General features: G+C 39.4%; 1 protein-coding gene, 1 long non-coding RNA gene and 1 pseudogene across 12 annotated transcripts in view, besides 2 other annotated features; 1 reads left to right on the top strand and 2 right to left on the bottom strand.

Annotated features, from left to right (window-relative positions):
- RORA-AS1 (RORA antisense RNA 1) overlaps window positions 1-15,005 on the bottom strand; it is a 151,462-nt gene that overhangs the window by 61,725 nt on the left and 74,732 nt on the right. The gene's annotated exons all lie outside the window — the stretch shown is intronic.
- The window catches only part of RORA (RAR related orphan receptor A), a 741,019-nt gene that overhangs the window by 660,388 nt on the left and 65,626 nt on the right, over window positions 1-15,005 (top strand). Inside the window, exons 2-3 of one of the 10 annotated variants that reach the window (NM_134260.3) lie at window positions 10,609-10,690; window positions 11,987-12,062. The exons of the other annotated variants lie outside the window; for them this stretch is intronic. Coding sequence (NP_599022.1) covers window positions 10,609-10,690; window positions 11,987-12,062 — 158 coding nt within the window. The remainder of the gene's footprint in view (window positions 1-10,608; window positions 10,691-11,986; window positions 12,063-15,005) is intronic. 10 annotated transcript variants of the gene reach the window in all.
- Window positions 351-645: a silencer, noted in NCBI's record as "tiled region #281; HepG2 Repressive non-DNase unmatched - State 14:Gen5'". NCBI's record gives its function as "represses a minimal TATA promoter and a strong SV40 promoter by Sharpr-MPRA in HepG2 cells {active_cell/tissue: HepG2}" and the evidence as "EXISTENCE:reporter gene assay evidence [ECO:0000049][PMID:27701403]".
- CYCSP38 (CYCS pseudogene 38) lies at window positions 9,955-10,895 on the bottom strand (annotated as a pseudogene).
- Window positions 12,581-13,082: an enhancer, noted in NCBI's record as "NANOG hESC enhancer chr15:60848032-60848533 (GRCh37/hg19 assembly coordinates)". NCBI's record gives its function as "activates a minimal SCP1, AML or CMV promoter by ChIP-STARR-seq in primed H9 embryonic stem cells {active_cell/tissue: H9 hESC(primed)}" and the evidence as "EXISTENCE:reporter gene assay evidence [ECO:0000049][PMID:30033119]".

Genomic DNA, 15,005 nt, shown 5'->3' with positions numbered 1-15,005 from the left:
TGAAAAATATCAAAACTATTCAGTCAACTTTTACCTACTTCACTTTGTCATCAACAACTCCCTGTTCCGTCCTTGCAAAGCAACTAATCTTTTTTACTTGTACTAGGAAAACATATAAAACCATCCTGACAGTTTGATAATACAACAACAGTGCTTAGATTCAAGATAAATGTATATTACAAGAAAAGTGAAAGAAGCTCTCAGGTGAGTGAGCTCTGGGTCAAGGCCCTTCGAGCCAAAGGAGAGGAGGTCCTGGACTTTGGTCTGATGTGTTCCAGGATCTGTGCCTGGCCTGCTTCCTGCCTCCCATAGCAGCAGCAAGTCCTGCTTTCCCCAGTGAGATCTCGACTAGACTTCCCCAGTGCCTTGTCAGAGAAAAGGGGCTTCTTCCTTCCTTAGAATCATTCTGACACCACACTGAGCCGGGGTATGCAAACAGGGAGGTTTGGGTCTTGAGAATAGATCATGCAAATTTCTTTCTTGTTTCCCTTAACTACATCAGCAGTAGAGAGCAGAGAAAGCCTTCACTGCCATGCTGCCTCATGGAGGTGCTGAAGTTTCTCCCAGGTAGGAGAGGACTTTGGGCTTCTTTTGGCATCACTACCCTCAGGATGCCTGGCTGTTCCACCTTTCTGTGGGTGGGGCAACCCTTGTCTCTGGCAGAACAGAAAGGTGCACAGGGGCAGAGGTAACAGCAGGAGACATAAGCATTGTCCTATCCATTTTCCAGCAGAGCACCACTGTCCTATCCAGAGCTTATTTTCCTGGAAACCATTCTCTCCATAAAACAGTGGTTCTCAACTGGGGGCACTTTTGACCCCCAGGGAACATTTATCAGTGTCTAGAGAGATTTTTTGATTAATACAATTCGAGAGTGCTATTAGCATCTAGCCACAACAAAGAATTATCTCACACAAAATGTCAGTAGTGCCAAGGCTGAGAAACCCTGCCACAGAGCATGCTTTCTACCTTCTGTTCATCATAGGCCCCTTACATATGACATCTTCATTTTCATTTTCAACCCAAACACATTTTATTTAACACCGTATAACTTCAATTTTAAGTAAAGGAATAAATGGAAAACTTTATTGGCATGAGAAAGAAAAAAAGGGAAAGTAATGCATTACCAAAAGAAGCCGGAGATAATCAGTATGTATGAACTCATGCAATGGTAGAATTATTCTTGCTAATAAAAGAGGGTATCGGCTGGGCCTGGTGGCTCACACCTGTAATCCCTGCACTTTGAGAGGCCAAGGCAGGCGGATCACTTAAGGCCAAGAGTTCCAGACCAGCCTGGCCAACATGGTAAAACCCTGTCTCCACTAAAAATACAAAAATTAGTTGGGTGTGGTGGTGCATGCCTGTAGTCCCAGCTATTCGGGAGGCTGAGGCAGGAGAATCACTTGAACCTGGGAGATGGAGGTTGCATGAGCTGAGATCACACCACTGCACGCCAGCCTGGGTAACAGACCAAGACTCAGTCTCAGAAAAAAAAAAATAATAATAATAATAATAATAATGATAATAAAAGAGGGCATCTCTCTAAAAGAAAAGGTGCAAACCCAAACATTTAGTGCCCCTAGGCAGGTGGTGTGAGTGTGGCAGGTAGAGGAGGCACTTGGACCGCTGGACGGCACATATGCTTTGGAAAGGGAGCACCTCCCTTGGCTCTGTCGCCGTTTGGAATAACTGGTCTGTCATCACCAGGTCTTTTTTTTTTTTTTAAGAGAATCTATAAATCTGAACTTTAATGTGAAATTCCCTGGTTATTAATGGCTAGAAACATATTTTAAAAACTCATAGGCTAGCTCGTTATGGAAGCAGATTAATGGTTTTGGCTAGTTCATCTTTGTTAGTATCTTTATCATTATTGAGATTGTGTGGTTGAACATTGGACAGATGAGCTCTCACACGTAATCTAAACAGACTCCTTTCTGTTCTGAAGGCTTAAGTCACCTAGAAAATAAGTCCAAACTCCTTAACAGAGTATTCAAGGCCCTTTAGGATTAGGTCCCGCCAACCTGGCTACCCACTTTCCATCCTTATATTGAGCCATTTGCTCCACTCTACCCTGCCCTTGAGACACAGTGAGCCTCTCTTTGAACACATCACGCATGTTCATGCTGGGACCTCTCCTTGGCTTTTCTTCACTCCCATCGCAACTTTCACTGCCTAGGGAAGTGCGATATTCATTCTCTGTGGCCCAAATCAAATGACAAATAATCTTCCCGAATTCCCTAAAAGAAATCTGGTTTGGTATATTCTGTTATTATGATCTTTATAAGTTGCTACCATGTATTCATCTAGTCATCTCCCCAACCTCAAGTAATGTGTAAGACTTGGAGGCTAGGAACCCAACTTTATTGGGAAGCCAACTTTATTGCTCTATTTTTCATATAAACCTAGCTTTCAGTAAATTTAAATCACCTTCTGCTTATCCATCCACCAGTATGCACTGTGATTAATTAACAAGGCAGTTTCTGCATTAACACCAAACTTTCCCTCTTCCCTGCCTATGACCAAGTTTTCAAAAAAAATTAAAATAACATTAAAATGTTATTAACGGCAAAAGGGAATTATTTTTTGAAACATCTATGATTTTTTACTAAGAAAAAGGAAAACTTGAGTGATGAGTAATACTTATTAAACATTTGGAATAGCATTAAAATAAGTATTTTTACAGAGTTAAATATTTGCGTCTATACTTAGATGTATAAAATACTATTCTTTGAACTTGAAGTGGATTTTGAACTCTGCTCTCCATAATTATAATAATCATAAGCTTATTTATGTATAGGTGGGCTATATAGACATTAACCAATTAATCTTGATCACATCACCTAATAGGAAGACTTTCCTTGATACCCTATTTTTAGAGTGCACATATGAGTGTATGTTAATTATAGGTCTCTGTTATTAACTTTGCATTATATTACCGAAATGCTTAATTAACAGTTTACCAGCATCAAGAGTGTAGGTGGGCAAGAAACTTGTATCAGAATTCACTTCTGTTCAAGCCAGGAGGTGAGTGACATTCATAAATCCGTCAAATACCTGGCCTTGCATCCAAGGACTATTCATTTTCCTTAAGTGTTTAAGTGGTTCTTTGAGAGGATGTGTTGACTTTATCAATTCAGGCCACATCATAATTAGCTAATTTAAAGAAAAAACAGGGGTGGTATCTATATATGTTTGTACCAAATTGAGTTTTAATATAATCCTGGTTCTCTGAGGGTGATATGGCTAATAATTAAGTTATCCCCATTAGGTTATACTTTCGGAAGCTGCTGTTGCCTGCTGCCTATTCCATTAAAAACTAACTTTATCACTAATTTTAACATGAAACAGATCCATTTGGAGAAAAATCCATTATGAATGAGACAGAGTTGGCTGTTGAATAACATTGGTGTAGGCTCAAGTCTGGAATAAATGTGATATAGATGGGACGATATTGGACAAATGCAATTTATTTCATTATTCAGCAACAAGGTATTCCAAATGTCTCTGCTAATGAATACATGAAAACAGATTACATATAATGTGCACACTGTGAGTCGCATTTGCAGAATTATTTTTGCCACCTCTAGCACTATCTGAAACCAACACTGAATAGCAATGGTACTTGAGCTTCTAGTTGCAAGAAAAAGCAACTTTAAAAATTAAAACCAAAAAATGTAAAAAGAAAAAAGTAAATGTCTTATCTGTGGAATTTACCTTTATGGGAGAATTCTTGGGAATATAGCAGTTTTATCTCAATCCAATTGTGTTGTCCTCTGTTAAACCTCTATTGTCCCTTAAAATCAGCCCACATGAAAAGAAGACAGTGTTCTTCTTCAAAGCTCTGATGGACGACTTTAGAGACTGTTTCAGGAACACTCTGTCTTTTTGCTGAGATATTGGTAGAATACAATAGATAACATTTACCGAGCTCACAAGGGGGTCACTGCTTGTCCACAGCAGTTTGTAAGCTGTTGGTTCTGGCATTAAATTTAAAGTCCCACAAAGTGAAGCAAAAATGTATAATAATGCTATTATTGTACTGGTTGCAGGGTTTTCGTTCGGGTGCCATTGGGGTATTGAGATATTTAAATATCAATACTTTTATGCTGTCATATAATTGTCTTAGAATAATCACTGTTTTGCGCTGATAAAATACTTTTAATCTAGGGTTTTCTCAGATTCCCTATCCCCCAAATATATCTGAGTGATAAACTTGTTGAAAGTTCAACATGTCAAGGATGACTTGCTCTAGCAAGCTGTAGTCTTCCCAGGCCCCCACCTTTCCTGGTTAAAGGATTGTCCTGATGAGACCAAAAGATCAGATTTAATATAGCCCAGCAGACTTAGAACACAGGAAAATAGTCTTTTGTCACCCTCAGTTTACCCCTATCCCTAGTCAGCTCTCTCATAAGTGAAGTTAAAAGCAACTAGATGAGAGTGTGGATCATTCTGACCAAATGGTTCTCACTGGCAGTAAAAAATGGTTCCAAAAGATGATCTTATTTGGTGGGCCAAATGTAAAGAGCATTATGTTAAGATAAAATCAGTAACAATTGCATTATAAGATGCCATTTATTGCATTTTTTTCTCTATGCCAAACACTGGGCTAAACACTGAACAAGCATGATCACTTTTAACTTTCAACAACTCTGGGGATAACCCATAATGGGGATAACCATTCTACAGATGAGGGGAACTGAGAATCAAAAAGGTTAAAATTTTTGCATAAGTTCACACAGAAGTGTGAGCTGGGATTTGAATTTAGGTGTCTCATCCCAGAGCTTCTCAACATGTCTCCACAGCCGTGCTGTATACCAATTGTAAGCATGCATCTTTCTCAGACTTTGGATTCATTATCTGGATATAAAATTCATATCCTAATAAAATGAAGTATGTAGTGAGAAGTGTGCTCAAGTCAAGCAGCCCATGAAAGGCTGTACAATAGAGGGCAAAGTGAAAGCCGCATGCAGGTCTGTGGAATTGTATGGGGATGTTTCATACAACACTGAATGCCATGTCTGCTGGAAAACATTGCTTGAAAATAAATATGTAGGCCATCGCTACCTGTGTGTGTACTTGCTGTAATGGAGCAAACTTCCAATGACCACCAAGAATGAACCACAGTGAACTAGAAGATGTGTCCTCTGATAAACAATGTCTGTGATGTAGCCACACAGGAAAAGCCATGGTTTGAAGCTCTGGGGAGCCCGTTTCCTAAGAGACTCTCTGGGGCACAACAATAAGAGCTGCTGTTTACTGAGAGTCTCCTGTCCCCCAAGCACTGTGCTGTCTCAGTTTGGTTTTAGGTGGGTAAGATCCCCATGCTACAAATGAAGAAACTGAGGCTCAAAGAAATTTCCCTAAGATTGACCACATCCGTGGCAGAATTGGAACAGTAAGTGTTCTTGATGACTAAAATAGTTGGAAATATACATAAGGGGTAAAATCTCATGAAGGTTCCCTAATTAAATTCACAAGGTAGACTTTGCTTTGAAGTGAAGTGAGATACCTTCTAAAGCAAAAGTCTGTTTAATATTTTCCACCATTAGAAAAAATGCGTGCTTAGGCCAAAGTGCAAGAAGAGGAATTCCATGTGGAAAACTGCAGGTGTGTCTAGTTAGGCCAAGAGGTATAAAAGGCTGAGCAGTTGTCTGGCACACCTGGTATTTGCACCATCAGCATCTTGCACTTAGTGGATGCTAAGCAAATATTTGTGATTTTTTTCAATAGCAGGGATGTTTGTCTGAATATTTAAATATTCACCTTAGTTTGATTTTACTTTGGTAGACTGACTCCGTGTTCACTTTGGGAGAATTTCAACTTATACGTGTCCGCCTTAAGTAACAAGATTCAGAAAATATGATTAAGTATAGCATTTATTTGAGCCCAAACTTGAGGATAGCCACCTGGGAGAATAGATTGAAGTTGCCTTGTACACTCGGATTAACAGCAGTTACAAGTGAATTTTTAAAGGAAGAAATAAGAGGCAGTTTCTAAATTGTTTACCAAGAATTTATATTTAAATAACATAAGCTATTGGCCAGGCATGGTGGCTCATGCCTGTAATGTCAGCACTTTGGGAGTCTGAGGCAGGACAATTACTTAAGCCCAGGAGTTTGAGAGCAGCCTGGGCAACATAGCAAGACCCCTATCTCTACAAAAAATTCAAAGCCAGGCACAGTGGCTCATGCATGTAATCCCAGCACTTTGGGAGGCCAAGGCGGGTGGATCACGAGGTCAGGAGATCGAGACCATCCTGGCTAACATGGTGAAACCCCATCTCTACTAAAAAAAAAAAAAAAATACAGAAAGTTAGCTGGGCGTGGTAGCACGGGCCTATAGTCCCAGCTACTTGGGACGCTGAGGCAGGAGAATCGCCTGAACCCGGGAGGCAGAGGTTGCAGTGGGCCGAGATAGAGCCACTGCACTCCAGCCTGGGCGACAGAGCAAGACTCTGTCTCAAAACAAAAGCAACCCCCCCCCAACCCCGCCTCAAAAAAAAAATGTAAAAACTAGCTGGGCATATTGGCACATGCCTGTCATCCCAGTTACTCAGGAAGCTGAGGCAAGAGGATTGTCTGAGCCCAGGAGGTCAAGGCTGCAGTTAGCTATGATCGTGCCATCGCACTCCAGCCTGGGTGACAGAGTCAGACTCTGTCTCAACAAAATTTTTGTAAACTGGCAGGGCGCAGTGGCTCATGCCTATAATCCCAGCACTTTGGGAGGTCAAGGCGGGCAGATCACCTGAGGTCGGGAGTTCGAGACCAGCCTGACCAACATGGTGAAACTAAAAATACAAAATTAGCCGGATGTGGTGGTGGCAGGCGCCTGTAATCCCAGCTACTCAGGAGGCTGAGGCAGGAGAATCGCTTGAACCTGGGAGGCAGAGGTTGCGGTGATCCGAGATCGCGCCACTGTACTCCAGCCTGGGCATCAAGAGCAAAACTCCGTCTCAAAAAAAAAGAAAAAAAATTTTTTTTTTTGTTAAACCCATAAGCTATTGTTCTGTGTATCACAGATTCCAGTAACATGAAGATAATGGAGGCAGCATCTAGTCAGGAACAAAATGGCTTTAAATAGTCCCCCACCACCACCCCTGCATGGGGGGAGTGTCACTGAAGTCCCATATTATGTCTCTCAGGGCGTGATAAATTTTGCATCACTTATATAGCTCATATGGTTCTGAGCTATTTTTCTTTTCTCAATGGATATAGTTTTGGATTGAGATGTACTTTCCTTCTATAGTTCTTGACCCTTTAACAAAATGTATTGGTATTTTGCAATTCAGAATCTATTACATTATGGAAGGGGGTCCAAAAACCTTGAGAGCCATGTTGTTAAAGCTTTAACATAAAGATGTTAAAGCATCTTCCTCATGTGTTCCTGGATCTACAACACGGGATAAAATTCTTAATGTTAGTTTCAGAGTTAAAGAGTTTAACTTTTTTTTATTACTTTCTTGTCATCACAATTATAATTATGCCTCATTATTTATTATTATTTTGCATTCTCCATATTTAAAAAAACACAAGTTGGCCAGGCGCGGTGGCTCACGCCTGTAATCCCAGCACTTTGGGAGGCCGAGGCGGGCGGATCACGAGGTCAGGAGATCGAGACCATCCTGGCTAACACGGTGAAACCCCGTCTCTACTAAAAATACAAAAAATTAGCCGGGCGTGGTAGCGGGCGCCTGTAGTCCCAGCTACTCGGGAGGCTGAGGCAGGAGAATGGCGTGAACCCGGGAGGCGGCGCTTGCAGTGAGCCGAGATCGCGCCACTGCACTCCAGCCTGGGCGACAGAGCGAGACTCCGTCTCAAAAACAAAAAAAAAAACAAAAACAAAACAAAAAAAAAAAAAACACAAGTTAAAACTTCCCATGTATAAAAACACTTACATTTTAAAACATCACTGCCAACGTGTGTGTGCTCATGTGGGAGTACAGATGTGTATATACAGACATGTACATTTTTAAAGACTTGGTTGTCTCTGCAGTGAAGACAATATGTTTTATTTTTTATTCCATATACTTCTCTGTATTTTCTATATTTGCTTCAATAAGCTGGTGTAACTTTTAATTTTTTTAATTAAAAAAAATTTAGCGTAAAATTACACTTAAACATTAGCAGCTGCTGCTGGGAAAAAATGGACAAATTGCCCAGGCAGCCACATTAGAAGAAGAAAGTCATTTGAATACAGTTATATACTTATTTTTATTGAGACACATCTTGCTGTGTCACCCAGGGTTTTGCTCTGTTGCCACAGCTTACTGCAGCCGTGACCCAGGCTCAAGTGATCCCTCCCACCTCAGGCCCCTCTCCCCGACCAGTAGCCGAGACTACAGGCAGGCACAGACTGGCACCACCACACTCGGCTAATTTTTTTTTTTTGAGGCAGGGTCTCACTATATTGTCCAGGCTGGTCTTGAACTCCTGAGCTCAAGTGATCCTCTCACCTTGGCTTCCCAAAGTGCTGGGATTACAGACAAGTCATGGCAGCTGGCTGAGTACAGTTATTCAGCATAAGCATAACAAAAACAGAATGGCAGCCCAGTTCCTTTGTTAATGAAATAGTAAGGGTGTAACTAGGGCAAGCTGGCCCTGTTTATGTCACATGAGTTTGTTTTAGAAAGCATTCTTGAGAACACAAACAAAACAAAAGAAAAAATTTTAGAAATACACTCACATTTTAATATAAAATGGACTGCGTTTTGTGGCTATGTGAGAATTTTCAACATAAATCTCCTTAAGAAGGGAGTCAAATGTTCTGGAGAGATCTAAATTTAATACAATCTCATAGGGAGCAAAATAAGGAGTTGCTGTGATAAACTTTTTGCTTTGCCAGGTATGGGCTACAATGATTGGTTGAAATCATCCAAAAATGAACTAAAATCACAAATTCATTTTCACAGATTTATTGTTAGAACTTATGTTGCTTCCTTAAGAAAACGCAACTATATTAACTCTTGGCTATGGCAGTCAAGAATAAAACAGTCAAGGGGAAAAAAAACAGTGGCTAAATTTATAAAGTTATGTGTATTTGGCTTTGAAATATTTTTGGAACATGAAACTGGCCTCGCTTAGGTAAAGAATCAATTTGCCATGTCTTGTAACATATCTATTTGAAGGCATTGAGAAGAGATCGAGAAACTCTCAAACTGAATGTACTTGTGATAATTATCAAGCCGTAATGCAAATAACAGAAAGGTCATTGTCCTATTCCTTGCACGACATCTTTCTCTTGGTAATTTGAAGAACAGGGTCTTTCAATTACCTTTTTTGCCTTCCTACTACAGCAATACCTCACCTGTGATGAATCTGTCCTCTGGCAACCTTCTCTGTCACAAACCATCTGAGAAGTTAGGAAGTAAGCAAATAGGCCTTTAGGTTGCCAAAACAGAGACCCAAAGTTCAAGCACTACAGTGAATGCACTTGATTTCAGAGGAAATCTCTTTAGACCCAGTACATCCTATTTATAATTGGTTTTTACACAAGCTTAGTTATCTGGTTGGGTTCCAAGACATAGCTAATTCTAAGACAAAATATTAATTACAAGTAGAGGGAGGGCCTCATAAGATCTAGCATATGACTACAGAAGGAAGGAAAACTACAGATGAAGGAGGAAGAAAAAACATAAAAAGGATAAAAACCAGGGCCATTTAGTGTTGGGGCAAAATGTCATATAAATCTTAGAAGGCCTTCAGAGCATTACAGCATATACAATAATTTTATACTTTTTTCATAAGTGTCTAATAAATTTTTTCGAGAAGAGTAAAATACTCTTTATTTCGTATTACACTTTGATGTGTAATATTAAATGTTCTTTATTTGATTTTTATTAGATTTTGTTGTTTATAAGATTTTTATTATTTATAAAGTATATTTGATATTACACTACACACCAAAGTGTAATATCAAATAAAAAATATTTAACTCTTCTCAACTATTACACTTTAGTGTATAATATCACTCTAAATATTGCACACTTTTCTAAAGCCTACACTAAAATGCCTTTCTGTAAGTAAAGGGAACCGTTTTAGATACAGGGAATTCTAATGAGATTGGCACAGTCAAAGCCAAAAATATAAAGTAGACATTGCTACCTGATCTTCAGACCTTGCCTTTAAGAGGCAACAGAACACAAAATACAGGTGACTCTTGCTTGGTTCTGAGACAGTGAAGGAAATTCCCAAGTATTTAAATATATTCACATAACCAGTTATATAAATCTAAACATAAAACCAATCTCCAATAGGTTTTAAGGTGGTATTCACCATCTTTATGAAAAGTTGAACATTACTAATGAAGTCCAACCATATCTTTAGAAGGGGGAAACAGTGATAGCATTTACTGAATCGAAATTACTATTAAAATTCAAAGAAACATCAAACATACGCATTTAACCACAATCCAGTCTTAGTTAACAGGACTGCCCAACAAAAATATTCAGTCAGACATTAATGATCTGAATTCTGGTGTATGAGATCTATTAAATTATGGTACACACAAAAAAGTCATGAGATGTTCCTGTTTTGTAATAAACAAGGCAGTGGCCAACTAATTAATGCCCATTAGTAGCTTTTTTGAGATAGGCTATCATTTTCGTTCCAGGGATGAACTTTTTGGGATTCTCCAAATACTCCATCAGTGTATCCTGTCTTCAGGTGATGCTTTTGTTCTTACTGGCGTCTGTGTAAGTGAATCCAAAGGCCTCCTGACCTGTCCTCCATCCAGAGACCATGGAGATGTGGCCCAGTCTTGTGTTTGCCTCCCTTTCCCCCGGTGTGGCACTGGGCATACTTCTAGACAAAAATCTTGGTTTTCTCAACATCACCCATATTTAATTCTCTCTTTCGTCATTGGCACTACTAAGGTTCCCATTCAGAGGCCAAACATCCTGCTCTCCAAATTTCTAATAAATTTTAAAATAAAATTTCTGATGACTGTTTATCATCAAGAAAGTAAATTCGATTCAAAATTCTCTACAGAGAAAAGAAATAGGTCATAATTTAGAAATATTTCTTTAAAAATATTTATGATAACTGCCCTCTTTGTTTTCATGTGTTTACTTGGATAACACTCCAGTTATTTGGATATTCAGCTATCCCAATTACTTACTAAAGCTCTAATCAGCTGAGATTCATTGCTGTTTGCTCTGGTGATGTTCTAAAATACATGATCACAGAGATGTCTGAAGTTCGGGTTTACTTCATTATATTCTTTGAGAGAACTATCCAGAAAGTAACTTCTATTTCCAGTTTGCAGAATGTTTCTCTTGTAGCCCAAGGGAATGTGTTCCTTATGAATACAAGTAGACTTGACCAACTGGAGGACCAAGTACAGAATTTCCTATGTTTATAATGCCTCCATCCCAGAGTTTATAACAGTTCATTATGGTTATTTAAACTCAAGCAAGGCCGAGCTTGTATCTCATTACATAATAGTACAAAGTAACTCAGCCAAAACTTTGTGTTCACTCCCCTGGCCTTTTTTGTCTTGTAACCACCACCTCTGTGATTTTTGCTGCTTCCAAATAAAGGCCAAACCACATGTGTCATCTTCTACATCCTCTCGTAGTGCCAGAAAGCCTCACTCTCTAGTTCTCCGATAACCATAACAGTTGTGAGCATTCTATATCTTATTTAACTTAAGACAGTGGGTTAATTTTAGGTATGACTATAGAGGGATAATGCAAATTCTTTCACAGCAACTTGAAGTTCAGCCTTCACAGAAGCAGAGAGTACTACAGGTGGCAGAAAATTATTCCTGCCAGCAAATAGTAGTAGAACAAGTTTCTTTAGAACAAAAGGAGAAAAAGACACATCCAGTTTCAGTGGGATTAAATTAGACAGTGGGAGTTGGCTACCTAAACAGTACTTTTTTGGGTACTTATTGCTGTTCAAGCATTTGGGGATGTGCTATGCATAAATACATGCTCTGATAAATCTTTTCTTTGTCCTTTATCATTGGATTGGGGTGGACAAACAAGTGTTCCTGGAGGCAGAATGGCAAGCCACCATATTCACAAAAGGAAGATAAGGAAGTACAAACTGGATACATGAATGGTGAGGGGAAACATCCACTGTAATTTGCAAGGTTTCTTCATTTACGAAGGCTTTTAGGAAGAAGTGAGGTTTGAATCAAAGATGGAGCCTCCCGCAGAACCAGAAAATGATGAAGAGAAAGGGGAAGCCGTGAACTTCCAGGCATAGAGGATCTCTTTCGTGGCCAATAGACTCATGAAACAGGGTTATACCTGTTTTATCACAAAAGATGCCACCTTTGGGTTATGGTCCACAGGCACATTCCCCAGTCAGTGACAATATCTTCACCTGCAGAGTGAACACGAGAACTAAGAAAATAGCCTGGACACTCAGAATAGAAAAAACACTTCCCTAAAATATTTAGACAGGTAATACAAAATTTATTTAGGTAACTGCCTTAGTTCTCTGCTTTTATATCACCTGTTCATAAAAGAGAAAAGGCGGGATAGAAGTGGGGTGGAGGTGAGAATAAATGGCTTAAATTCAGAAGTTGTCATGCCAGATTTTTCTCCTCCCTGTTTCTATTTATGAAACTTTGCACAGCACCCTCAATTTTGAGGGTAGATTTAGAATGTATTTTCACTTGGCGATGGGGAACACAGATCCCCTTGTCCACAGTTGTGGGTTTATAAGAAGAGAAAGCATGAAATAAAGATGGGAGAGACACCCAGGATGAGATCCGTTTTTTCCTAAACACTCACCTGAAATGCCAGACATTCCAAAAGCTTTTGCATTTACAGAGAGTGAGAAATCTCTCTGCTGTCTGTGCTTCATTGGAAAGTAGAGGGACTATTGCTCTTTCAAGTGGGGGAGATTTGTGTAACAGAAAGAAACAGCAGAAAATAGGTCAGCAAAGTCCAGTGACCTGCACAGATGGGTGTTTTGAGATGTGTAAGCCGAGGTTCCACAATCACTACCCAGATTCACTTACAAATATCAGGAGTAAAGGCCGGAAATAGAAACATATTTTCCAGGCAAGAAGGAGTGGGGAAGAGGGAGAAGTGGGTTATCTTTTTTCCTTCAAATCACTACCATTTCCAGCATTTGAAAAAACATTTTCTTAAAGTCATTTTGCTCAACAGATGACAGTATTTCTTGGGAAAGTAGTAAGAAAAAAGGAAAAAAAAATTCAAGCAGTTTTTTTTCCGTTTCAGCCACCACCTTCCTTTTCTTCCCACCTGTGAATATGAACACAAGACCACTTCATTCTTAGGGTACTTTATTGGCCCCATTCTGCTTGCATATCCCAGCATCGTGCAATCACTAATTGTTTCAAACAGTAACCTAGTACCAAACAGAATTTTAACATTGCCACTAATTCTTTTGAACAAGGCTGTGTTGGCAATTATGAAACAGGGTAGACGTTGGCAAGTGCTTTCAGAATAATTATAGGGTTCCTCGAGTAGTACAGTGTAAACAATTGCTGGTTTAAAAGCGTTATTGTGAACAGCAATTTATACTAAAATTTATATTTGCTCCTTGAAACCAATATATGTCGAGAGTGCCCCACTCCCTCTCCTACCTCCCCACCTTGAGCTCTCAAGGGCTTTGGAACCTTTTGATTTTATGACACTTTTAACTTAGCAAGGCAACTACAAGGCATGTCTAGGCCACAGTAAATAAGGGTAAGAGTAATGCATTTAATCAATGGGCATGAATGAAGTAATGAAACTGTTTCAGCTCTGGCCACCTGGTGTGCTCCCAGGATACTGACATACAGAAAGGCCATTTTGGTACAGAGAGAAGCTAAGAACTGCAGTGGCATCATTTTTGCCTGGCAAGTAGGGCACGCTGAAGATTATCACCTCTTCTTTGGCTTATGATGGCATGGATGCAGGGCACAGAGGACCAAGACACAGGAAGCTCTTGGAGATAATGCAGCTCTAAAGTGGCCACAGAGACTTATTACAATATATTTTTTCCTCTCTGTGGAAATTTTAATTTTATCCTATGGTACATTAAAAATGGGTGGGTACATCAGAAAACCAGGGGGTGAGCGTGGGGGAAAGAAAGCCTTGATGATTGGGGGAGAATGGTTTTTGAAGGGCTCTTCTCTCTTCTCTTTGGGTGAATGCTAAATGGCAGTCCTTCTTTTCCAAACAGGTGACCGTATGTGTCATCTTCTTGTCTTTCTGTTGATCCTAGTGGCTTCTCTTACCCAGCCTGAGAACTCCCCTGAGATTTTTCGCATCCTGAATGTTTCTCACCAAAGTAGCTAGAGTTCTAGGATAATGTGTTTTTTGTTTGAACTGCGGTTCCTGGTTTCTGCTCTCTAAAGCCCTTTTAAGTCATATTTTCCATGATTGTTCAGTGCTGGCTTTGGTATTTAAATAAGCCTTTCAATGGGTCATTAGCCCTGTAATTAATTCTAGCTATTTTTAAATGGTGCCTTGGTTATTAAAGAGCCCCCATATTCACAACAGTCTTGTCTTTCTTGGAGAATTACTAAGCATTTGCTGATTTTTTTTTAGTGCCAAAAATATTGCAATTTTATCTCATTGTGAATATATTCCTCATTGATAGGAAGAGTCAATCTTTTTGAATGAGGACAGAAAATATTTAACTGTTACACTTCCATATAATAGCCTTGTGCTTTTATTTTTCTTTCAAATAATCATAACAAATACCCATCCTGTACCCCAGGCCCTGTCATAGCTATATGTGTTTCACTTTACTTACATTTTAAAAAATCAATTATCAGCAAATCACAGTACTTCAATGGGAAATAACTTCACAGAGAAAGAGAAGTGACTGGATTAAAATCACTTACTCAGTGTTAGAGAGGAAAAAACCCAACTTCTTCCTCTACCCGCTTATATTCAGTGTCTGGGGCCCCACAAAATAAACTTACAAAAGACAGGTTAACGGGAGAAAAAGGATTATTTTATATGTATGTGAGGGGGCCTCACAGAAATTAAGTGAATACCCCCAAGAAGGTCATCAGATCTGGAGGCTTATATACCA

Source organism: Homo sapiens, chromosome 15, assembly GCF_000001405.40.
Source record: "Homo sapiens chromosome 15, GRCh38.p14 Primary Assembly".
Classification (NCBI taxonomy): domain Eukaryota; kingdom Metazoa; phylum Chordata; class Mammalia; order Primates; family Hominidae; genus Homo; species Homo sapiens.
This window is presented reverse-complemented; position numbering and strand designations above follow the sequence as displayed.